This window comes from Homo sapiens, chromosome 2 (genome assembly GCF_000001405.40).
Source record: "Homo sapiens chromosome 2, GRCh38.p14 Primary Assembly".
Lineage (NCBI taxonomy): Eukaryota > Metazoa > Chordata > Mammalia > Primates > Hominidae > Homo > Homo sapiens.
In genome coordinates this window covers 174,140,206-174,166,764 of record NC_000002.12, presented here as the reverse complement: position 1 = coordinate 174,166,764, position 26,559 = coordinate 174,140,206, and the positions used below count along the sequence as shown (strand labels likewise).

The 26,559-nt window shown below is 36.5% G+C and overlaps 1 protein-coding gene across 3 annotated transcripts in view, besides 1 other annotated feature; it reads left to right on the top strand.

Annotated features, from left to right (window-relative positions):
• The window catches only part of OLA1 (Obg like ATPase 1), a 176,086-nt gene that overhangs the window by 81,768 nt on the left and 67,759 nt on the right, over nucleotides 1-26,559 (top strand). For all 3 annotated transcript variants that reach the window (NM_001011708.3, NM_001328688.2, NM_013341.5), the window contains one exon: nucleotides 24,765-24,940. In NM_001011708.3, coding sequence (NP_001011708.1) covers nucleotides 24,866-24,940 — 75 coding nt within the window. In that variant the 5' untranslated portion in view covers nucleotides 24,765-24,865. The remainder of the gene's footprint in view (nucleotides 1-24,764; nucleotides 24,941-26,559) is intronic.
• Nucleotides 8,548-8,597: a silencer, noted in NCBI's record as "silent region_12123". NCBI's record gives its function as "represses an Ori minimal core promoter by ATAC-STARR-seq in GM12878 lymphoblastoid cells {active_cell/tissue: GM12878}" and the evidence as "EXISTENCE:reporter gene assay evidence [ECO:0000049][PMID:35858748]".

Sequence of the window (26,559 nt, the reverse complement as noted above, 5' to 3'; positions counted from 1 at the left end):
TGTGCCCCCATACTTTAAAGATAATAGTTATGATTTTCACTTAGATAAATTTTGTAGACATCTGTGTTATTACAGAACAGAATTTTGTAGATATTTAAAATCATATAAATGGCAATACTTAGCAAAATGACAAAAAGCACTATTGCACCGTGCTATAGTAGTAATAGAAATGACTTTCTTCTAGGAAATCAGAGACCCATTCAAGTAAACATTTACCTAGATCTGTGATACACAGAAGGAATTTGAATTGGCTGCCAATCTTTGTTGTTATTGCTGTTGAGAGTTCATGTTCAGATCATGTTTCCCAAGTATGTGAACCAGTACTGCGACTCCCACAGTTGGGTTTCTAAGGAGAGCTTCCTTGTCTTCTTGTATCTGCTTGCTCAAATCTGGTATCTGTTCTGTCTAAGAAACTCAATCTGTCTAAGAAACTGCTTCTCAGAGGCTCTATCATATTTTCTTCCTCTGCAGGTGGTAAATTTTGGTCCCACTTGTAAATACTTTGGCTTATTTTTAGTATGTGAATTGAAATGTTCTGAATTAGGTCAAAAATTAAATGTTCATCAATTAGTTACAAATTTATCAGATACTATCTTCTAATAAGGAATAGGAGGTGACATTTGAGGTTTTTTTTTTTTTTTTAATGGAGTCTCACTCTGTTGCCCAGGCTGGAGTGCAGTGGCACGATCTCTGCTCATGTGACCTCTGCCTCCCGGGTTCAAGCGATTCTCCTGCCTCAGCCTCCCAAGTAGCTGGGGACTACAGGCACATGCCACCATGTCCGGCTACTTTTTTTGTATTTTTTGGTGGAGATGGGGTTTCACCATGTTGCCCAGACTGGTCTCAAACTCCTGACCTCAAGTGATCAGCCTGCCTCAGCCTCTCAGAGTGTTGGGATTACAGGCGTGAGCCACTGCGCCCAGCCTGACATTTGAGTTATGAATGGTAAATCATTTGCTAGACAATGAATAGAGGAACGGCATTCTCATTCTTATAAAGTGTGTTTCTTTTTGTCTCTGTTACTGAAATTATTTAATTTGATAAGCTAATCCGGTCCTTTGATAGGTGATACTCTTGCATATGATAAGCGCTTAAACATTATTTAAACAAATTATTTTACATTTAAGGAAGAAAACTTTAACTGGAAAGACTTTGGTTAGATGAAAGGGAACAAGAATTTCTTTGGCGTGGACTCTCCAGCAAAGGCAGGAATAGGATCAACATTCGTTCTATACCATCTTTGTGTCAGAAATTTCGCTTCACAGTGTTTTTCAGTACATATTATCAGTGTTTGGAAACGAAGAAACCTTTGAAAAAGATTGTTGTTAGCTATATGACCTTGGGCAAGTTAATGGCAGAACTCACAATTTCTGAAGACAGGACTGTTGTTGGCCTGAACATACCCTTTCTTTCACCTCTTATGTCAGTTGGATGTATTTTCCTTAAACATATTTGTTTTCTGAATATACCTTATGCATTCCACCCTTGTTTTTGCTGTATCCCATTTTAAATATGGGACAGTAGATACTCATTATTACAATGTTTTATTTAGGTAGGAAGCGTAATATATGAGTTGTAATACTTTCAGTTACAGTAGAATTCCAGTTCAAAATGGCTTAGAAAATAAAGATAGTCTATATATTGGCTTGCAGTTACTGAGAAGATAAGATACATGGTTTCATGCAATACATGATCAGTGCACTGACTCAGAACTTTCCCTAAGGTCTTAATTTCTTTCTGTCTCTACTCTACCTTTTGGCCAGCTTTACTCATCTTTTGGCTGATTCCTCTCATGGTTGTAACATGGCTTCCTGCATTTCACTGGCCATGTGGTTTTTAGTTCACATCTGTCAGAGGAAAAAGACTGACTTTGTTCAAGTCTTGCAATAAATTTTGAAATTTCCTCCATTGGACCAGCTTAAGTCACATGCCCAATCAATCCTTCAGTAGTCACTGTGAGCAGATAAAATAATCTTACCTGAAGTTACGTAAATTCCTAAGCAGTAGTTGGGGAGCTAGAAGAGAGTATAGATAAATGCCTGAACAACAAATCTCTACCTATCAGTGATAAACTTGAAATTGTTATTGATAATTCTGTGAATTTGGAGAGGGGAGAAAATACCTGTGAAATTTTACACTTAAAAAATTTTAAGAACCTATTTACTTTGATTCTTGACTGGAAAATACATTTATCTCATCTTGGTAATACTTCATAATACTGGTTTAAAACATCACACTATTATGAGAGTTAGAGCAGTATAATTCTGATGAAATTTCATTACCAGAATTGTAATAAAAATGTTTCCTCTTCATTAAATATGTGGTGAAGCTTATTGTTTGTGAAAATTAAACCGTTTCGTGGGATCACCAAACATAAAACAGAATGGTATCCATTCTGCACTATGCAGAATGGTATTGCGTAGTGCCAACTCTAACCTTCTAACCTTGTCCATATGGGAGAAAGTCAGAGCATAGGATAAATTGAAACTTTATTAAATGCTGTGTGTATTAGTCTATTCTCATGCTGCTATGAAGAAAATACCCGAGACTGGGTAATTTATAAAGAAAATAGGTTTAATTGACTTACAGTTCTGCATGAGGCTGAGGAGGCCTCAGGAGACTTACAAGCATGGTGGAAGGCACCTCTTCACAGGGCGGCAGGAGACAGAATGAGTAAAGGGAAAAGCCCCTTATAAAACCATCACATCTTGTGTGAACTCACTATCACAAGAACAGAATGGGGGTAACCACTCCCATGATTCAATTACCTCCCACCAGGTCCCTCCCACCACACATGAGGATTGTGGGTACTACAATTCAAGATGAGATTTGGTTGGGGACACAGCCAAATTGTACCACCACGTTTTAAAAGTTTCATTTCTGTTTCTTTTTAAACAGTCTATGTGGTTAAATAGAGTAGTTTTGTACTCTAAATGAAAAAACTTTTTTTTTGGATCAGCTTTCTAAGCAGGCACCCAAACATTTATTTATATATATATATATATATATATATATATATATATATATATATATATATATATATATATATATATTTATTTATTTATTTTATTTTTGAGACAAGGTCTCGTTCTTCTCCCCCAGGCTGGAGTGCAATGGCGCGATCTCAGCTCATTGCAACCTCTGCCTCCCGGGTTCAAGCAATTCTCCTGCCTCAGCCTCCCGAGTAGCTGGGATTTATAGGTGCCTGCCACCATGCCCGGCTAATTTTCGTAGTTTTAGTAGAGACGGGGGTTTCACCATGTTGGCCAGGCTGGTCTCTAACTCCTGACCTCAGGTGATCCGCCTGCCTTGGCCTCCCAAAGTTCTGGGATTACAGGCGTGAGCCACCACACCCGGCATATTTATTTTTAATTAATAAAATTGATTTGCCTTATATTATTGCTATTATCTGTCATCAAGTTCTATCAGTCTTTTCTGGAAGTACTTCTCTTCTTTTTTTGCCTTATTCTATTTTCACTACCATTTAACTGCCCTTACTAATAAATTGTTGCTGGGGCTCTCTTTTTCTGATCAGTGTGACCCTGTAATCACTTGTCTCAGACATATGTTTGCTTTAAAATGCAGAATCTCAGGCTTCTCCCTAGTAATCCAGAATCAAGGAGTGGGCTGGGAATCATCTGCACACTAGAAGATTTTTGAGAATAACTGTTACAGTCTTCTTCCAGTTTCTTCCTTTAAGAGCAGTGGTTCTTTTCTTTGTTTGAGACAGTCTCACTCTGTTGCCCAGGCTGGAGTGCAGTGGCACTATCAAGGCTCACTGGACCCTCCATCTCTCAGGCTCAATCAATTCTCCACCTCAGCCTCCTGAGTAGCTGGGACTACATACACGTTCCACCACACCCAGTTAATTTTTGTATTTTTTGCAGAGACAGGAGTTTCGCCACATTGCCCAGGCTGGTCTCAAACTCCTGTACTCAAGCGATCCGCCCGCCTCGGCCTCCCAAAGGGCTGGGATTATAGGAGCAGTGATTCTTAACCACAATTATATCACTTAGTGATCTGCCCCAGTACTTGGTTTCCTATACCATAGAGGGGTTAAAAGTCTATTTTTCACAAAACAGAAAATAATTATGTGTATTTTGTTAAATTTCTAACTTAAGTTTTATCAGCATCATAGTATTATTTAGACGTATATATTATTGCCATGGTTTGAAAATACACACAAATAAAAATCTACCAGTAGCTGAACATTGCAGTGAATATTCAATTTTGTACTATACTAACTATAAAACAAAAAGATAACACATAAGCATACAGTTATTAAATAGGAAGCAATAATACCTTCGTAGCCTGGTATGGGACAAGGACTTAAGGTCCATGAGTATTGCTGTTATTCCATAGGACCACATATTTGGCATATCACCTTTAGTTGTGATATGGCCTTTGAGAAATTAGATGTATCATTGCTTGAGGGTCATTGCATTTGATTATGTTACTGCCTCTTGTAAAACATTCGTGCCTTCCTGGGAATTCCATTTTCTGCCTGGTACTCAATACTCTTCATTGTTAAACATTAGTATGTTTTCCAGTGCTTTCTTTTCTGTTCTAAATTTTCCTCAGACATATTTACTCTGTGTCCTGAATGTACCTTATGTATTCTACCCTTGCCTTTGCTGTACCTCTAGCTAAGTTTTGTCCTTTAAGGTCCATATCCTCTGTGAACTTCGTCTGTCCCCCTTTTGCTCACTTTTCCTGCCTTTGAGATTAGGAGCCTTCTACATGTAGGATCATTTTTTGATGCCATGGTTTAGTTACATATTCTTGTCTTATTTCTCCTACTAGACTGTAAACTCCTTGACAGTATGGGCCATGTCATTTAATTTCATCTCTCCCTAGATACCTAAAATACGCTTTTTACATAGCAGTCAATAAAAGGAGGAAGGATATCAGTTTCATTGCTAGAAATTTTTTCTTACTTCAGTGTAAGCTTATCTAGATGTGGTCTAGTACATTTTTTCGACTACTTTGTTTGGTTACCTAAGAGAATATGCAGGGTGCAAATGTATGTATGTGTGTCTATCTATCTATGTGTGTGTGTGTGTGTGTGTGTGTGTGTGTGTGTATTTTTTTTTTTTTAAAGAGACAAAGTCTTAGTCTGTCACCCAGGCTGGAGTGCAGTGGTGCCATCATAGCTCACTGCAGCCTCGAACACTTGGGCTAAAGCAGTCCTCCCATCTCAGTTTCCCAAGTAGCCAGGACCACAGGTGTGTGCTGCCATACCTGGCTAATTATAGGCGTGAACCACTGCTCCTGGTCAATATATGTTTTTATTGTCTTTATCCAAATCTGTTAGTCAAGCAATAAGATTTTAGATAAATGAAAATAAAGTTCTTATATTTTACTGTTTTACATTTATTTCTAGGCCACTGTGTATTTTTCTTTATGCTAGTCACATGCATATTTATATACAGCATGTGTATAAGTAGGCCTATATAAGTTATAGGCATATAATACATTTATGTTTACATTGTTAGTTTGCTTTTGTTACTATAACTTATGTTGTCTCATATTATACTTTTATTCAGGATTAAAACTTAGCTAGCAAAATATTATATGGCATTGTATTAACTATGTATGTGATATAGTTGGATGCATTCTTATAGGTAAAAATTTATATGAAGAAATGGAAATCTTATTTAAAAAATGAACTGCACTATTTAAAATAGAAACTCATGATCTTTTTAACGTTGCAGCTGAGTTAAACAAATAATCTTTCCACCATTACCAAGAGGTGCTGTAGTTAAAAATACATTTATACATATTATTTTTAAAAACCTAGTTAACTTTAAAATATGTAAGTTTTCTTGTCGTTTAGGGTTCTGTGAAGCTGATCATCAAGAGGGTTGCAAATCATTGGTGGTTTCTATTTTCAGATTTCCACATCCCGGAGTAATTTGCTTTAATTTCACCCAATTTAACCTATACTTCACACCATCACCATTCAGCTTTAATAGCTATGTTCTATGCATAAGAAAAGCAGATAAATGTCCACAATTAGGCTGCAAATGATTACAACTAGTTAGGGCTTTATGAAGACAAAACTTAAAGGACCATGGCGCCAAACAAAGCCACAAAGACGGCTTGAAAATGCTGTCTCGAGAAGTCAAGTCTACCATGGCATTTGATTTATTACTTTTGTAGTTGATTTTACTTATTTTTAATATATTGGCAGGTGTGCCTACTCTGGGAAGTATTCATCTTTAAAGAATATTAGTTCTCTGTTCATTTATTTTGGTTTTTAATTTATTTGCTTTTTTGAATCTCAGCATAACCAGGTTGAATCTCTTTTCAAAAATATTATTAAAAGGTAGCAATTTTTAAAAAATTGAGAATAATTTGTTTGAAATGTACTGGCATTTATATGCCTTGTTAATGCATTTCTGAAATCAAGACTTTGCTGAAATGTTTATACGTTGAATAACCGTATCAGACATTTAGTGGAAGTATAGTTTTACAATTTTGTATAGAATTTCATTTCCAGATAGGTTTTAGTATGCAAAATATAAGCCTATGGAGGATTACTTCTATGAAATGTTACTTCTATGTGCATATGTATAAAAAATTCAGAAATTGTTTTAATCCTATATGTATGTTGTATTTTCTAAGATGTATGTTCTTGTTGATGATTAATGTATATTGTTATTTCAAGGTACAAAGAATTTATTTATGGTTTAAGGTTTTAAAAAGTTAAATTATTTTAATATAATAGCATTTTATAAATTTATTTTCTCCTATGAAGTAAAACTTGTTAGTTTGGTTAATATATCGCTGTATTTAATGAAGTAAATAAATCTCAGTCTCAAGACTGGATCTCATCTCTTTTCAAAATTTTCTGAAGATTTTAATCAAGGTGTGACATATAAAAACATTTTCTTTAAATACTTTGTAATAAATATATACATAACATAAATATAACTCAAGGCTTTAGTCTGGTGTTCCAACATTAGTCATTTTGTTGGATGTTCTCTCAGACATTCTATATAGATAGGAATAGCAATACTGATGGATAATAACTTTATAGTTTATGGCACCCAGAATTATTCTTATAATTGTAATACTCCCCATTTTAGAAGTAATGTTAATCATTTTATTTATTATATAAGCAGTAACATGTATTTATTTTAAACATTTAGATAAGTCTTATTTTCTTAAATAATAATTCTGTCCTTAGTTTATTATTGCTTAAAATCCAAAATAAATGTAGGTGAAAAACCAAAGCAGTTGTGGGTTTTTTTGTACACATGTAACACACACATGTGTATGGTGTTGCATGCAGGTGCTAACTTTAAAAACAATACTGGGGAATGAATAGCTGTGTACCTTTGTTTATAAAATCAGTGTATGTGGGAAAGTACACTAAAACTTATTATTTTAAAATATCCTTATTTTAAAGAAAGTAGTCACTTATTTATCCTACAAAGTAGACCAATATAGCCGTGGCAAGACAATACAGCTACACAGCTTCACAGTTGTATTAAACTAGTTTCATATGCTATATCATAAAACTTTCAGTCCAATCAGCAACTAAATTTAAATACTGCAAATTGTAGCAGCAAAACAATAATTCTGCTGATTAGCCCCTTTCCATTTCTTGTAAGTGAACTGTTTATGCTGTTGAGTACCTTTTGAAAAAAGAAAAAGCCAAAACAGCCTTGATTAGTCAAGGAGTAATTGGATGACTTGATTTTAGCAAGAGAATGAATTGGTTGATGATAGCCTGTAACTAAGTGTAGTGGTTCTGTTCAGATGAATACATAACATACAGTCATCAGATCTTGACAGGTATAACATATTAGCAGTGCTAAAATCCCATGGTGGGGGGATTAGATGGAAATGGAGGGGAATAAGTTTGCCATGAAGTCTTTTACTGTAAAATTTGAGGTGATTCTTAGAGGACTTTAGATAAATATTCATAGTTTTTTCGTTCTGATTTTACATTGGAGGGGTAAATAGGTGGAGAGATTTCTCTACTTTATTACAATAGTCCCCCTGTTTTTTGCTCTAAAGACAAAATAGTTCTGTAGACAAAAGAGCTAATGGGATCACTGAACTTTTTGCAGGAGGATCGTTGATAATATCCTTTCACTTTTGTGGAAAATCATGTCGTAAAGATCATGGCTCCTTAGTAAGAGCCTTGATGCATTAAATGTATTCATATTTAACTAAAGTCTTGATGATGTCAGAACTTTTTGTACACTGCATTCTTATTTATGATTTTCTGATTACTTTCAAGACTGTATCTGAGTTTATATTAATGAAATATGGCATAAAGCAGGAAAGAAATTTTTTTAATGTATTCATTTGTAACTAGTCTTAAAACAGCCCGGTTGTACTGTCTGTCGCCCACCAAGAATATAATACAATAACCACCCCTTCTGTACCATAACGTGCTGTGTGGGTCCAAAAGTTTCATTTGCATAAAATATGCGATCACTGTATTTCTAGGTGAATGAAATGACAGGATGAACCTGCACAGCTGACCACAGGGGAATAAGGGGTGTCACAAGGTCCTGGCCCATCCAAATCCATTCTGATACTGGCTTTGATTTGGCACCACCTGGTGGTGATAGCTCTAGCTTAACTGGTGAGGACTAGATCTTGTAGACTGACTAGGACGTTATAAGATTGCAGTAGAAATTCTAGAAAGATCTCAGGGAGATCATACCCATTTTGTTGGGCCAGTTGAGGTGGGTTACATCAGAAAAGTATTGAGGATGCAGTGGCCTCCCTTACACAGTCTGCTCCCAAAGGATGTGGTTGCTTGCTTGTCCTTCATCTCCCTAGGTCTTATCCTTTCTTACATGTTTCTACTCTCATTTTAGAACTGTGTGTTAATGCATTTAATGGTGTATTTTGTGAGGTATATTATCTGGTTTCAGGGCATCTACCATCACAGTACTTTTCATTTGGACCCAAGAATGTGATCTCTATTGTGTAATGTGGATTTAATCAGACCATCATCTTCCTATTATAACACTAGGTGTTCTTGGTGAGTCATCCCTCTTACATTTCTGTATTTCCCCTTCTATATCTTAGAAAAATTAGATAGAAGTCAAAATCCATTGACATTATGAATAAAGGTTATAAAATAGTTTTTTTAAACAGCCAGGCATTTACTTGACTGATTAATACCTGTCCCATGTTTACATTTTCCAAGCATTTAAACACTAGTTTCAAATTCCAGCAGAGACAGTATTTTCTCTCTTCTCACAGCATCAAAATACACTTAAATATGGGATTAAAAATAGTTTATACTTTCATCAAAACCTGTACATGACTCTTAGTATAACTTTTAAATGGCATCTACATAACACCAGTGCTCAAATTTGAAACCTTGAAGGCTGTCTTTTTCCATCAACTTGTGTGAATACTGACTCCTTCCCTGTTCCCCTTCATCTTGGGTTTACTTTCTTGTTTTTATTATATGCTGATCTGTCTCCCCTGTTAGGCTGTAATCACTTTTGAAAGCAGAAACTAGTTGTGTTCCGCTTTTTCTTATCTCAGAAATTTGCCTTCCAGCTCCTGGCACCATTCTCTTTGTGATTAACATCCAGTAAACATTTGTTAAATATGTCTCTTAAAATATGTATCTTTTTAACTATTTATACACCTCCAAGTGGATGACATGCCACATTTTATTTCTTCTCAGTTTGTTATCATTCTTTTTGCCCACTAGACCAAAAAACTTTGTAAATTCTACTTTGTTTTCTTTCATTTTTTTTTTTTTTTAGATTTGACCATTTTGATGTCATTTCTGTTACTACTACCCAACAGTCAACTACTTTGTGACCATCAGTCTCTCTCCAAGCTATTAGATCTTCAACATAATTGACAGAATCATTTAAAGAGTGTGGTAGCAGGCTGGGCATGGTGGCTCATGCCTGTAATCCCAGCACTTTGGAGGGCTGAGGTGGGTGGATCATCTGACATTAGGAGTTCGACACCAGCCTGGCTAACATGGTGAAACCCTGTCTCTACTAAAAATACAAAAATCAGCTGGGTGTGGTGGTGGGCGCCTGTAATCCCAGCTACTCCGGAGGCTGAGGCAGGAGAATGGCTTGAACACGGTAGGTGGGGGTTGCAGTGAGCCAAGATGGCGCCACTGCACTCCAGCCTGGGCAACAATAGCAAAACTCCATCTCAAAAAAAAAAAAAAAAAAAAAAAGAGTGTGGGAGCAAACAAGCCAGCATGAGCAAGATCACAAGAATACGTCTCTGAAAATCTCCATAGAATTTTCTCATCTAAGAAATTAAATTTCAACTCCTCAGCTCAGTGTTAGAGCCTTTCCATCAATTGACATCTACACATTTGAACCTATGGTAATATCTTTTGGTTACTACATAGCACAATTTTTGTCTTTCAGTATGTACTAATGCATTTCAACTGTAGGTTGGCAATGTCTGGAGATTTTTTATCTTTATAGCTGGGGTGCTTGTGTGCGTGTGTGTTACTGGCATCTAGTTTATAGAGGCCAGGGGGTGCCATTAAACATCCTACAATGCACAGGTCAGCCCTTCACGACAAATAATTATCTGTCCCAAAATGTTTGTAGTGCCAAGGTTGAGGAACCCTGGTATACCTTGTCTTTAGCTTTTCATTTATAAATATATTTAATAGTTAAATACATTGAGGGCCTGCTCTGTATGAGGTCCTGTCCTAAGCTGTTTACATACATTATCACTCTAAATCTTCAGGACAGTCTTAGGAGGTAGGTACTGTTATTGTGTACATTTTACAGAGGAAACTAAGGCATAGAGAAATTCATCCAACAACTAATCAGTCAGTCTGAAATCCAGATTTGAATCCAGATGTTCTGATTCCAGAGTATGTGCCCTTAATCACTTCTGTTATACTTCCATCCTGCTGGAATTTCTTCTTTACTCTCTGCGTCCCTTTGCAAATATCTGTCCCTGAAAGTCCTCGTCTTTATGCTGACCTTCCCTCCTTAATCCTGATTCATGCTGATCTATCCCTGCTCTCTCGGTCTGTCTTTTTTCTCTTTTTTTATTGCTACATTCATTGGTCTTAGTTATAGTATGTAGGTATGTGTTCCCGCTCCTTAGTTTGACTTATACATTTAAACAATTGTTTGTATTTACTAAAATATGTAATCTAATGCAAACACCCAAGAAGTCTTCAGAAGGTAATTGTCTGTCCTTCACTAATAGTTAAGCAATTCAGGGATGAAGAGATAACAAGAAATTTCTTGTGTCTTCTATTGCAGTCTGTAGTTTGCCATGTTTTATGCTTTGCTTCTCTAGTAATTTTTGTGATTGATATGCTTAGCACTAGTTTCTTTGAAATGCTCACTAAATGTCTTATTGTGTGCTGTGAAATTGATCTTTTTCTGTTGTGCTGCATGTTTAGCTTCATCTAGAATCTGTAGTTTCCCTCTAACAGTTTTTCATTCAAGTGCCAATAACTGCTTGAGGCGTTCTTTCATTCATTGATTCCTTCTTCAGTCATGTCTTCACTTGTATTTTTGCTCACCCCTTTTTTGGGCCTGTTGTGCATCAGCTCTGATCAGGGCCCTTGTGGGAACTAGAAAGACACTTAAGATACACATAATCCCCAAGCTTAGGTAACTAGGCATAGAATCACATATTCTAACACTAGATGTACATGCTATAGGTCAGATGAATAGAATGGATAGATTATTGTGGCAGTTCAAATAGAGGGTATGGTTAGAGAAGGCATATTGCTATGGAGATACCATTTCAGTGACATTTCATTAAGGCCATGAAAGATATGTAAGGTTTTTTTGAAAGGCAGAAGTAAGAAGGAAGAATATTCCAAGCAGAGGGATGAGTAACAGCATGAAAGATGAGAAATGAAAGCATTGATAGTAATTCAGTTTGATTGAAAATGGATATTGTGGGTGCCAATGTTAGAAAAATTTAAGCTCTGATTTGCTGTTTAGTTTATTTCTTGAATAATGAATGGTTCACATGTCCCCTTTATCCATATCTTACAGTATTGCTAATAAAGACAGAATTCTAGTTTTTGTTAATTTCTGTGTTTGCATTTTTTTCGGTGTAAAAATGGATTTTCTCAGAAGCCATATTTAAGGTAAAATATGTAACCACCAGTTTTACTGTACTTTATTCCAGACAAGTCTCTACAACTCCTCTATGACTCAAGTATGGTAGAGATCTCTTAGACCTGAATTCCTCTAGAATTGCCTTGTAAATGGGGAAACTAAACTGTACATTTTAAGGACGGATGTAATTTGTAATAGAAAGAAAGGATTTTTTTTTATCTTTTAGGCCCAAAAAAGTCAGTGGGAAAAAAATACAGTGACAGTTGAACATGAGGAACTTTCTGGCCTTTATGAGTCAGCACAAGAGTTTGGCTTGAGCTGAGGATTTCTGGAGAGTTGGTGATGGTAAGGTTTGAAGGGTGAGGGCAAGGTCAGTTTATACAGGGCTATTTCTACAGGCAGAAGGCTAAGTGATGTTTTGTAAGTTAAGAAAATAGCGAGATGGCTATTGCAAAGGGTAAATACAACAGAAACAGTCAGCTCAATATTGGAAGTAGGGCAGAATCTCAATATTAATTCAAAATAGCATTGATTGGCTGAGTGCAGCAGCTCACGTGTAATCCCAGCACTTTGGGCAGCTGAGGCGGGAGGATTGCTTCCACCCAGCAGTTCAAGATCAGCCTGGGCGAGATAACAAGACCTCATGTCTACTGAAAACAAACAAAAAAATTAGCCAGACTCAGTGGCAGGCACTCGTAGTTCCACCTACTCAGGAGGCTGAGGCAGTAGGATGGCTTAAGACCAGGAGATCAAGGCTGCAATGAGTCGTGATTGTGCCACTGCACTCCAGCCTGGGCAACAGAACAAGACCCCACCTCAAAACAAAAACAAAATAACATTGGTTAATTTTGCCTTTTACACATTTAAAGTATCTGTTATATAATAAGGAATAAGAAGTGAAAAATCTTGTTGAAAGCCGAATGCTAGTTCTCATTAAGATACTTCTTTTTTGCCTACTTCTTTGAAAAGAGTTGCTATGTTGCAGCAACTAAAAATTTAAAACCCTTGAGCAATTGAATATAATTAAGTACAGGTGTTGACTCTGGGTTATAATTCATAACTTTTAAGTGACTTTAAGGATTCTTTAATGGTGCGGATGTCTAATTATCTACAGTACAAGTAAAATACCAGGCAGAATTTTCTGGTGTTCTGTACATTTAGAAGAATTACACTGTATAATATTGTAATGTGTTGCTTCTTGTCAGTTAAGTGGTGTCAGTGATAACCAGAAGGCTTTTTTGATTGCTACTATACTAAATATAAGCTCCAATTTTAATGTTTTTCATGTCTTTCTACGTGCTTTCTCTTTATCTCATCTTACTATTCAATATTGTTTTTCACTGCTTTAAAGTATATTATTTTTAATTTAAGAGAACTCTTAAAATTAGAAGAAAATAACAATTTTTAAGGTTTCTCAGAACTGAATTGACCCACTTTATTATTCTCTCCTATGCTAAATATCTGTTTATCTCAAGGTTTGGAATTATTTTTACTTACAGCCTTGCTTGATTGCTCCCATGTAAGTTTACTTTGCGTGAAAGTCCTGTAGGAATCATTTATAATTTCTTTAATTTTAGACTAGTCCCTCAAAGTCAGCTACATATGCCTTTTATTTTACTAAGCTTTTTGAAAACTTAATCAACTTTTGAATGTGTCAAAGGGATGGTAGTTTTATTCCTCTTGGTCTAGATTGAGTTTTAGAGCTGTTTCCTGTAATGAGAGAGGAGGAAGGAAGAGGAGAGGGGAGAGAAGCAAAGCAAAAGCACATTCTTCTGGCTACTTGTAGTTCTGTTTTCTATTCCAGCATTAAACAATTAGACTAGCACAGACTGGATTATTTTATGGCCTTTGTTATATCTATTTTAATAGACTTTTCCCTGGAAAACAAATATTAAAGACTTAAGAGTTACTTTTGATTGATATCTTATTGTAAATCAGTACAACCCACCAATTCCAGTTATACTATTCCATTATGCTTTTGCATCAAGTAATTAACAGTTTACATTACTAGACCAATTATTTCCATTTTTATATATTTACAAAATATTTTGTTTCTCCAGAGATCTAAATATATATTCACTGATTAATACGACTCTTTTCATTTGTTTCAAACTCTGAAGGCTAGAAACGTAAACCTACATCTTTTTGAGTGGAATCTTGTTAGCAGAATGTGCTATTAGTTATTTTGTGTATTCCAAAATTTGCCTTGTTTTAAGAAAGGCAAATTGATTTTTGAAGTGAATATAATAAATTGAGATGCTCTTCTCCCACTTTTTAACTTTTTTTTATTTTTATTTTTTGAGACGGAGTCTTACTCTGTCACCCAGGCTGGAGTGCAGTGGCCCAATCTCCACCCACTACAACCTCCACCTCCCCAGGTTCAAACAATTCTCCTGCCTCAGCCTCCTGAGTAGCTGGTACTACAGGCACCACCATGCCCGGCTAATTTTGTATTTTTAGTAAAGACAGGGTTTCACTATGTTGGCCAGGCTGGTCTCGAACTCCTGACCTTAGGTGATCTGCCCACCTAGGCCTCCCAAAGTGCTGGGATTACAGGCGTGAGCCACTGCACTGGGCCCTACTTTCTAACTTAAGGAAAGTAATTAAAACTACACATCTTACTTAATGCAAAGATACATATTACAAGCTTTAGGTTAAATTAGATTATGGTTTTGCTCAAATTGCTCAAATTGCTTTTGTTGCCAAGATGGTAAGGAGCTTTAGCTAGATTAAGACTAGAGTTTTAAAGTGTTTCTGTAAACCAGGGCTTAAACTATATTTTCAAATCAGAGCTTTTGGAGTGTGCAATAACTAGTTTTATACCTCGTCCCTCGTCCCGTTCACATCCCCACTCGCACCCCAATGCAATAAAGAATTTTTGTCATGTCATTTATGGAAAATAAATAGGAGTTTGTATTTTCCAGTGTTTATTAATAAAACTATAGATATTAAATGAATTGCCAATGCATGTTTAGCTCTCTCCCTTCTCTTGAAATATTAATGAGCTAGAGAACTATAAGGGAGTTGGGAACCAGAGTTCTGACATAAGGTAATACTTTGTTTTGAAGAATGGATTGGAAATTTGAAAACATAAAGTTTTTTTTTTAGCAGTATATTCTTGTCTTGATTTCTAACATTGTATTTAATAATTGATCTTCTATTGGTTTAGGAATCTGGCCCCTAACCTCTGAATGATTGTGGTGGGACTCTGGATTAGAATATAAATACTCAAAACATTTACTGTTAACGCGTAGGACAAACTGGAAAGCAATGTAAAATAATGTAGCATATAGTTTGTTTTGGTGCTGTGATTTGATATGACCATATATTTGTGTAATAATTTTATTTCTCTTTTTCTGAAGTTTGCATTTTAGAAGAGTGGTTATCTGGTTGACATCGTTTTCTTGAGTTAATTTGCACTGTTCATCCTGTTTTCATGTGTCCCATCAGAATTCTAATGCCGTTCTTCTGATCGTATGTAGAGAACAGCGATTCCCTTTTAGCTGGTTCTTTACTTCTGGTTAGTCTTTCTAAAATGCTGCTTTCTGTATTACTCATTCATGTAAGACTCATGATTGGCTCCCTATGACTAGAAGATGAGCTCCAGACTTACCCTGATATTTGGACTTCCCTATCCTCCATGCCCACCTTTTATCATCTTCTACTCTTCAACACAATTTCTCACTGTGATCAACTCTCCAGTAAGCTTTGTTCATTTCAAATTTTATTTTTTATCTGATGCTTTCTCCTGTTGCTTGTCATGCCTTTCTTCTTCTTCTTAACCTATTCTAATTTTTTCTATTTTTAAAGGCCTTGCTGCTACCTGTTATTAATTATGCTTAGATTTAAAGTCTTTGCTAGTGAATATTGCTCTCCCTTTTTAATAGGTTAAATTTGTTTCCTAACCAGATTGTCCAGTTACTGAGATCAAGATCCTTTTATTTTGACTTTTGATTTTAATTCTCACAGACTTAGCACATTGTTGGGTATATAAGGAGGCTTTCTCCAATTGGAAAACTTATATTTAACAAGGCATATTGTAGTTTGCATATGTGTTGAAAGGGTGGCAGTTTATGCATTGGTTTATATACCAAGGAATTCTGTGTCTCTGTATTGTATAGTGGTAGAATATGGAAAAAGCATAAGTCAGATAGGTCTATTTTGATTACATACCCTCTTATTCCCAAGAAAACTCTAGACATGCTATGTGGAATATCAAGGTATCTTAATATGTTTTCTCTTGCTGTAACTGAATACCTGAGACTGAGTAATTTATAAAGAAAAGAAACTTATTTCTTACAATCATGGAGCCTGGAAAGTACAAGCTCAGCGGGCTGCAGCTGGTGAGGGTCTTCTTGCTAGTGGGGACTTTCTGTAGAGTCCCAAGGCAGCACAGCACAGGCCATCATATGGTGGTGGAGCTCATAAGAGATGGCCGAACTTTTTATAACAAACCCACTCTGGTGATAAGTAGCCCACCCCCTTGATAACCCAAAAATCCATGAATGGCTTAATCCATTGTGGGGGCAGAGCCCTCATGACCCAGTCACTTCCCAGAGATCCCACTTCTCAACACTGCTGCATTGGAGATCAAGTTTCCAACACATGAACTTTCGCGGAACACATTGAAACTATAGCCCAGGTTTTCTATGACAGATGGTTTATAAGTATTGCTGTGAATGAAGCCTCTACTCTTCAATACATCATGTATTTCTATGTCTATCTAGGGATTCTTTACTCTAGAAACTGAATGCAACCCAAGTTTATGTAGTAATATAGGAAAGTGGTTCACTGAAGTCCTGAATTTCCAAAGTATATTTTTGTTTCTGAAGTCCTTCAGGTTAGATTCAGCATCCTAAACAGAGTGTAGATTTATCCTTTTTACTCACATCTTTATGGAGTAAGAACAGGCCTTGAGTGAATGAGCAAACTGATTAATCTTCAGTCCATTTATAATCATTGAAAAGAGCCAACTCATCATTTCTGCCAAATCATACCAATAAATAAGTAGCATGCAGAATGTCCAGTACCACAGGAATAGTCAAATGTATCTCACCACGTAAATATCTGTTTTGAGTGGACCTCAGTAAGGGAGGTACAGAAATTAGAAAAGTCATAATTTTAGAGTAAGCATTGACATTTTGCGTTTATTCACTTAGTGAATAGATTTTATATTAGAAACGGTTTATATAACTAACTAAAAATATTTTTTGGTTTATTTCATTTGATACTGCCTCAGAGTATATTGGAGCCACTCAGGGGAGTTCTGAGTTGGAGATTCTGTTAGTGAAAGTGTAATAGAGGGGTAAGAGAAGAGAGCTAAGAAAGACATCAACATATATGGGGAAGTTATAACAAGAAAAGAAATGACCAGAGAAAATAAAAGAAAATCAGGAGAATGCAGTTAGAAAGAAGCAATGAAAGAGACTACTATTTCAGTGCTCTGAAGTTAGGTGCTACTGAGTGGGCATTCAAGATTCCTATAGAATGGCTGTTAGATTTAAAATCATTAAGGCAAATCACTGATGTCCTTTCTAAGATCAGTTTGTTAGCTTGGTGCTGGCATATGTCAGACTATAGTGGGTTGAGTTGTAAATAGGCGGAAAAAGTGGAGAGAGCACATGTAGACAGCTCCTTCAAGAAGCTTGGCTCTGAACTGGAGGAATGAAAGCAATAACTAGAGGAGAAATTAACGTCCAGGGTGAATGACATGATTGATTTAATGCAGAATCTTAAGCATGCTTAAATGTTGATGAGAAAGTGTTAGTGGAAATGGAGGAGATACAAATACAGGAGAGAGGTGTAATAGATTGAGGTCTGAGGAAATAGAAGCAACAATCTATGGTGCAAACTTCCTTGGGAGGGGCTAATATCCAGCACAGAGATGGGAGGGAGACTAACCAGAAATAGTAGAAGGGGTGATGTTGTCTATTTTACTGCTGGGAAGAAGGAAAAGTTAGTTAGGTAACAACAAAAAGGGGGTTGGCTCTCCAGAAATGACATGCATTTCCCTGTGAAGTGGGGAAGGTTAAGGTAGCAGGGGAGAACTAGAAAGCACTAGAAATGTGAGGGAAGTCAAGAAGGTTTGAAAAGAGTACTTTGTTGTGAAAGGAAACACTGTAGGATTGCTGGGTAAGAAATCTCTGTGATAGAATCCAGCTTAAGCCTATTATGGTTAATTTTTTTTCTGTAACAAATAGTTTTTTAAATGAGAGTTTACCATAGTTAACATTTTAGTTACGCATTATGTGAGTATTTCTCCTTGTGCAAATTAAACTTGTTTATTGTGTTTTTTGTTTTGTTTTGTTTATTTGAGATGTAGTCTCACTCTTGTCGCTCCGGCTGGAGTACAGTGGCACCGTCTTGGCTCACTGCAACCTCCACCTCCCAGGTTCAAGCAGTGCTCCTGCCTCAGCACCCCCAAGTAGCTGGGACCACAGGCGCATGCCACCAAGCCTGGCTAATTATTTATATTTTTATTAGAGATGGGGTTTCACCACATTGGCCAAGCTGGTCTAGAACTCCTGACCTCAGGTTATCTGCCCGCCTCGGCCTCCCAAAGTGCTGGGGTTACAGGCGTGAGCCACCACGCCCGGCCTATTTTGTTTTTTTAAAAAGTGACTTAAAAAGGCCAGGCAGGCAGACCACTTGAGGCCAGAATTCAAGACCAGCCTGGCCAACATGGCAAAACCCCGTCTACTGAAAGTACAGAAAAGCCACACATGGTGGCACGCACCTGAAATCCCAGCTATTCAGGAGGCTGAGGCACTAGAATTGCTTGAACCTGGGAGGTGGAGATTGCAGTGAGCTGAGATCCCACCACTACACTCCAGCCTGAGCGACAGAGCAAGACTCTGTCTCAAAAATAAATAAATAAACAAACAAACAATAAAAAAGACTTGTTTTTCTATAAACAATGCATGTTTATTATAAAAAGTTTAAATGAGACAAAACTGATGAAGAAGTTTTTAAAAAATTACTCAGTAGCTCACTTCCCAGAAATTCTCATTAGCATTTGGTCGGTGTCATTAAGAGAGAGAAATGACTTTATACAAATGTGATCATGTAGTGTATGTGCTATTTCAAATAGACTACTAAATTTTATTTTGAGTTTGAAAGAAAAAGAAATAATACAGAAGAAATTACTGAACCTCAAGTATGGTTTTTTTATGTTTTTATTTTTACAAAAGATAGGTTCTTAAATGATCCTTTAGGCCATAAGAGAGAATTCTGAAGCCTTAGGTGGACTTGATTTTTTTTCTTTTTCTTTTTTTTGAGACGGAGTTTCGCTCTCGTTGCCCAGGCTGGAGTGCAGTGGCACGATCTCGGCTCACCGCAACCTCTGCCTCCCGGGTTCAAGCAATTCTCCTGCCTCAGTCTCCTGAGTAGCTGGGCATTACAGGCATGCACCACCATGCCCGGCTAGTTTTGTATTTTTAGTAGAGATGTGTTTTCTCCATGTCGGTCAGGCTGGTCTCGAACTCCTGACCTCAGGTGATCCGCCCACCTCGGCCTCCCAAAGTGCTGGGATTACAGGGGTGAGCCACCGCACCTGGCCTTTTTTGTTGTTGCTGTTCAGTCACACAACTTGAAAATGTGTGACTTGATTTTAATGCTTGTATGAGTGTAGTTTTCTTCTGCTGCTCTTGATGGTATGTGTGGTGTCAGTTGGTTGACCATCCTGCAGTTGGTCAAGTATACTTTTTATTTTGGTGTTTATTTATGCCATTTTATTTGGAATGTGAGCCTTTGAAAGTGGCTATGATTTCTAAGTAGGCCACCTTCTTGACTGATAGGATCACTTTCACAGACTGTAGGAAATCTTAGGGTTTCTTACTTTATATAATTAGTGCGCTTATAGAAAGAGGAAATGTTCTCAAAATTCAGTGAATTTAGAAAAGCTAAAATTTAGCTCTTTTGGACTCTTGAGTTATAAGAAATTTTATCTGTCTTTATCTCTAAATAGTATCTGACGGTTGAATACACCTTCCTTCTTGAAACATTTTTTTCCCTCGCTCTCATAAGAGCATACTCCTAGTTTTTCTCTGACTTTAGGTCAGTCCTTCTCAGTCTCTTGCCAAGTTCTTCTCCTCCCTCAGTCATCTGAGTGTTGGAGTGCTCTCTCTAGGTGATGTCACTCAGATTTGTTACTTTAAACACATTTGATAACTGTCAATTTTATATCTTCATTCATGATCTTACATCCTACATCTAGCCTATCTCTAAAATATAGTCCTAGTACAAACGCTCCTCTTGTTCTCCACAGTCTTGAGTACCACTTATCTGGTTATCACTCATTGGCACCACTAAAGCCACCTCCTAACTTTGTCTGCAGTCATTCTTGCCTCCTCTCTTGGAATCTGTTCTTTTTAAAGTAGCTAAAGTGTCCTCTTTAAATCATAAGTCTTATCTTATCACCCTGCCTTCCCTTTGTTTAAAACTATCCAGTCAATATCCAGACTTCCCATTACAGCTAGAATAAATCCAAACTCTCATGGTTTACAAATGTATGTGAACTGCTTTACCTCTCCACCTTAAACTCTTTATCTTCCATCCCCTGCCATGGTTCACCTATACTGACCATATTTCTTTCTGAAGCACTTCAAATTTATTGCTATTTTTAGGCTTTTATACTTAGAAGAACCCTCTTCCCTCAGATCCTCACATTACTGCCTCCCTCTGGCCGTTTGGCTCAGATGTCATCTCAGAGAGCTCTTCCTGCCTATCCTAGCTGAAGTATTGCACAACTCCTCACTCTTCTCAGCACACACATACGTGCTCTATCATATTGCCCTATTTTATGTAGACTGGCACCAAAAATAAATTTCACAAAAACTGTATCATATCCTATCATCATCAATATGATTATAGTTAGTATTTTCAGGCATTTCTCTTGATAGGAGTTATTTTACCAGAATATATGATTGTTACTTTATACATAATTACTCACATTTTTGGCTAAATTTATTTAAACAGGGAACTTTGTCACTAATGTAAGTGGAAAATTAGTATCACATGTCAAAATTGAAGCTAATAAAAATAAATACAATGAAAATTGCAGTTTTTAATTTTTTTTACTCTTTAGAAGCTCTGAGACTAAGGCTTGCTCTGTTGAGAAAAAGATAAACATTAAAGACCAACAGCATTAAACTGAGACCTTCTTGACATAGACAAATTGAAAGAGAATTGTAATAAAAGTAACTTTCTCATCGAGCGTTGCAGTGTAATGTAGTGTAGTCTGTCCTCTGAATTTACCAGTGCACTAAAACTAAATGCTATTTTAGTTCATGTGAAGTTGAAATAACTTAGGCCATGGACTAGGGTAAAAGTGTGCTAGTGAACTAGTGAGAATTTCTGGGGGAAAAAAAACCCTAGAAACTCTGTTTATTTTAATTCTTTCCAAGGTGAATTGAATAGCTTGAAACTATATTACTCAAAATTAATGTTTTGAGTATATTGCTGAGGAATTCTTCTAAATTAGTAATTCCTACATTATAAAAAAATAGTATATTCCCCAATCACTGAAAGAATTTTGTGTGTTGGGCTCTCTGCTGAACACTTGACATATATTATCTGATTTAATCATATGCATTCTCTGAGAGGTAGAAGCATCCTCATTTTAAAGATGTGAAGATAAGATCTATAGAGGTTAGGTAATTTGTCTAAGATTCTATGATCAGCAAACCTTTCTGAGTTCACGGAATATATATATTCCGTGATTATATATATATATATATATATATATATATATTTTTTTTTTTTTTTTTTTTTTAAACAGGGTCTTACTCTGTCGCCCAGCGTGATCACAGCTCACTGCAGCCTCAACCTCCCGGGTTCAAGCAGTCTCCCACCTCAGATCTCCAAGTAGCTGAGACCACAGGCGTGCACCACCATGCGTGGCTAATTTTTTTATTTAGGGACAAGGTCTCACAATGTTGCCTAGGCTGATCTCAAACTCCTGAGCTCAGGCGATCCTCCTGCCTCAGCCTCCCAAAGTGTTAGGATTACAGGTGTGAGCCACCATGCCGGGCCTCAAAGACTATATTCTTAAGCATTAAATCTTGTACTAAAGAAGGCAAGATGCAAAAAAAATGCTATGACATAAGTGTATGATGAAGTTCGTTGACCCAGAAGCATGTCTTTGGAAAAGAATCTCCAATTTTTCAGCTCTAAGAAATGAGAAGTTACCCAAATGGCCACCAAATTTTATGGAAGCTTTTAGTTTATGGGTGTTCTAGGCCCGTTCTAGGGTATTCCATTTGACAGGATAGCCTTAGTGTTCCCATTACTTAATTTTTATCTTAATATTTGACAATTTTTTTTCAGAAATAAATTTAAATTCTACTTATGGTATGTTACCACCTCACAATACAAAGGAATATAACAATAATACTAACCTTGGGGCAGGGAGCAACAGTGCCACCAGCATATGTAAGGTCTGTGGCTTGAGTTTTTTTCTTATAGTAGGGGGAATAGATTAGTGATGATACAGTCATAACTCCTTTCCTAGGCTAGTCCTTGGCAGAGTCTAGGTAAGGTACAATCTAGAAAATAATTTGGTTTTTTTTGGTAGGTTTTTGTTTTTGCTTGACAAGGTCTTGCTCGACAAGGTCTTGCTCTGTTGCCCAGGCTAGAGTGTAGTGGCATGATCATGGCTTGTTACAGCTCACTCCTGACCTGAAGCAGTCCTCCTACCTTAGCCTCCCCAGTAGCCAAGAGTATAAGCGCATACCACCATGCCCGACTATATTTTTTAAAAATTTCTTGTAGAGACAGGATCTTGCCTTGTTGCCCAGGTCTTAGACTCCTGGGCTCAAGTGATCCTCCCACCTTGGCCACCCAAAGTGCTGGGATTACAGGTGTGAGCCACCACACCCAACCTAAAAGATAATTTGAAGGTTGCAAGATAGACACATGATTTCTTCCCCTTCCTCCTTTATTCTCTTTTTTTCTTTGGATTCTTTTAGATCATCAGAGGGCTTTGTTTTCTTTGCTTTCAGAAGAATTGCAGTTACTAAGTTTCTCTCTATTATCCACTTGGTTAAAATTGGGGGTTGTAATTAAGAATTGCCATTTAAAACCTGCTAATGCATTTACTGTAGGGATGTTGTTGAGGACATCACTATGGTTAGTCTTTGGACCCTACATAGAGACAACTATATAGGATATTTTTCATTCTGAGTGTCACAGAAAGCTTAGTCACTCCTGTAAGTTACAGTGTTATTTGTGTTGCTTGACTGCCAGGAAGCTTCCATTTTTATTTTCCTATTTTATCATGCTATTTGCATAAGATGCCTCAAATCTTGACAAGAAGTAAATAATATTGTGCTTTTAGGGAGATTTCCTTCATATTTTCAAAGATTCAAAAAATTTACCTAAACCACTGTCTATTGTGTTTGTTAGTAAAACATAATATAGCTCCTCATTTCTGCTAATTTTGCTCATATGAATTTGACATTAAATAGTATATTATTTGTATGCAAAAAACTTAAATATTGCTTTACATACCTATACTTTAATTGTAATAGTATATTTATGTTTTATTGTTACTGAATAATCCACATTTAGATACAACTTAATTATTTTTAATTCTGGGAAATTATATTTAAAAACAATTTATAACTTGTATCAAGAGTATCTTGGTTTTTGGTATTTAAGAATGAGCTGTGTTCACTGTTTCTCTTACCAAACTCAATCAAACTCTCATGATTTTTTTGATACCTCTGTCTAAAATAATTGATACTTTATGTTTGAAAACATCTCATTTTGGGACTATAATCTAATTGGTAGTTTTAATGAAATTAATTTGTTTATAAATGTGTGTATTGTTTGGTGGATATATCATTGCTTTCTGTTTGTAATATTTCTTAGTATTTGTTCATTTTTTATGATACTATTCTTTATCTGGTAATTTGAGTAAATCCCAGTTGAATTATGTTGCCACATTATGTCTTCAAAAGGGCATAAAGTCAGTACACATGCTTCAGTAATATCTGGTTGTTTTACCCTTATGTTTCCAGTTGGCAATTTGAAATTATGGCTTCAACTGCACTTTAAATATGTGATAATAGCATGTGTTTCTAATAAGGGCCAGCATCATTTTGTTCAGATAGTGTGAATGGTTGTCACTCATATATGACAAATGCACCTTCATCTGCTTCTTTGATAGCCCCCTAAAAACCATACCCTCAAATCAGGCCGATGAAATTAGCTGCTGTGTAAATTGTGTGTCTGAGTGGTTCATTATCTAATCACCGTCAGAACCACAGTGATAAAGTAGATTGAAGCAGGGAAGAGGTCTGCCAGATGATTTCAGACCCCCCCTCCCTAAATCTGGTTTCCCTTGGAAACCCTAATAGTGCAGTTTAGAACTTCAATCTTTCATGCCTGGAATTCAGTATCTTTTAATTTACCAAACTTGGAAATGCCAGTAGTTCTAGAACATAATTTTGTTTTTGTAAAGACCATAATTTTATTTATTTAAATCAATTTTTGAAATATGGAGGCTCTTGAACTATAGTTTTATTGCCAGTAGCCTCAGTATTACTAAATGGGGGAAAAATGCTATATCCTACTTGCCAAGAAGCCAGAGTAATTTATTTATTATATTTATTTGTTAACCTTCTAGGAATCTTTCACTCTATCATAATGAACACGCTGTATTATTTGTTTATTGAATTGCTTCCCTTTAATTCATTTTAGGTGCTTTTGAAGATGATGATATCACGCACGTTGAAGGAAGTGTAGATCCTATTCGAGATATAGAAATAATACATGAAGAGCTTCAGCTTAAAGATGAGGAAATGATTGGGCCCATTATAGATAAACTAGAAAAGGTGGCTGTGAGAGGAGGAGATAAAAAACTAAAACCTGAATATGTAAGTAAAAATTTACAGCTTCTTTAGATACTCAAGAGTTTATTTTTCTTGATTAAATTTTTTAAATAATGCATATGATACATCTAATATTGTTATGGAATTTTAGAAGCCAAGGGTTATTTCTGTTAAAAAAAATTGTTAAGGAACTTTATTTTTAAACAACCAAGGGCCATGGTGATAGGCTATTTAGGCGGTTCTAAGCAAGCAGTAGTTAGCAGTAATAGTGAGTGTTTACATGATTACTATGTAGGCCTTCAAGTTTTAGTGTTAATAAAGTGTGGTTTATGATGAAAAACTTACTGGATTTGGTGAAATGACTCATACAGTTTTCATGGATTTGAAGAAGTGATTTATACAAAGACCTGGTTCTCCATAGGGGTGGACTAAATGAATACACTCTTAAAGTAGACAGATCATTTTAATATTTTATGGAATGAAAACATGCCTCATTGTTCTTAATATTCAAATGTGTTTTCTATCACATTATAATGAATGATTATTAGTAACATTGTAATAAATGTTCCAAAATGTATTTTGAAGCTTTTAGTTTACATATGATTGAATTGTCTTTAACATTTAAGAAACGGTGCCCTGGCCAGGCGTGGTGGCTCACGCCTATAATCCCAGCACTTTGGGAAGCTGAGGCGGGTGGATCACCTGAGATCAGAAGTTCAAGACCAGCCTAGCCAACATGGCGAAACCCTGTCCCTACTAAAAATACAAAAATTAGCTGGGTGTGGTGGTAGGTGCTTGTAATCCCAGCTACTTGGGAGGCTGAGGCAGGAGAATTGCTTGAACCCGGGAGGCGGAGGTTGCAGTGAGCCAAGATCGTGCCATTGCACTCCAGCCTGGTGATAGAGTGAGACTCTGTCTCAAATAAATAAATAAATAAAATATTTTTAAAAATAAAATAAAATGAAACTAGTAAGAGAAAGTAACCAACACACAGTATGTAAATGAGCAGGTTACCCCCATTGGCAAGAGTAAAGAAGCTGGGGTAATTATCAACCAATTTATATCAGTTACTGGCTATGGGCTACTCCTAGGAGTGTTAACTCCTTGGTGCCTGATGTCTTTGTGGTTTGAGCATAGAATTTAGTCAGACTAACAGATGCTTACCTTAAGCCATCACCATGTACTAGACCCATGATGGCAAAGGGGATTTTGGGCAGGGTAATCCTGTAATTCCAGCACTTTGGGAGGCCAAGGCAGGTGGATCGCCTGAGATCAGGAGATTGAGACCAGCATGGCTAACATTGTGAAACCCCATCTCGACTAAAAATACAAAAATTAGCCAGGCGTGGTGGTGCACGCCTGTAATCTCACCTACTGAGGAGGCTGAGGCAGGAGAATCACTGGAACCTGGGAGGTGGAGGCTGCAGTGAGCCCAGATCATGCCACTGCACTCCAGGCTGGGCGACAGAGTGAGACTCGGTCTCAATTAAAAAAAAAAAAGAAAGAAAAAGAAAAGAAAAGGGATAACTATATGATTATGATATCAACTAGTTACTGTAGGGAAGTTTCTTTTAGAAATATATTTCTTAAGTTCTCTAGCAAATGGTCTAAAGGTACAAAAATGTGATGGATATAAAAGAGATAGCTACTTGAAATTTATGAGA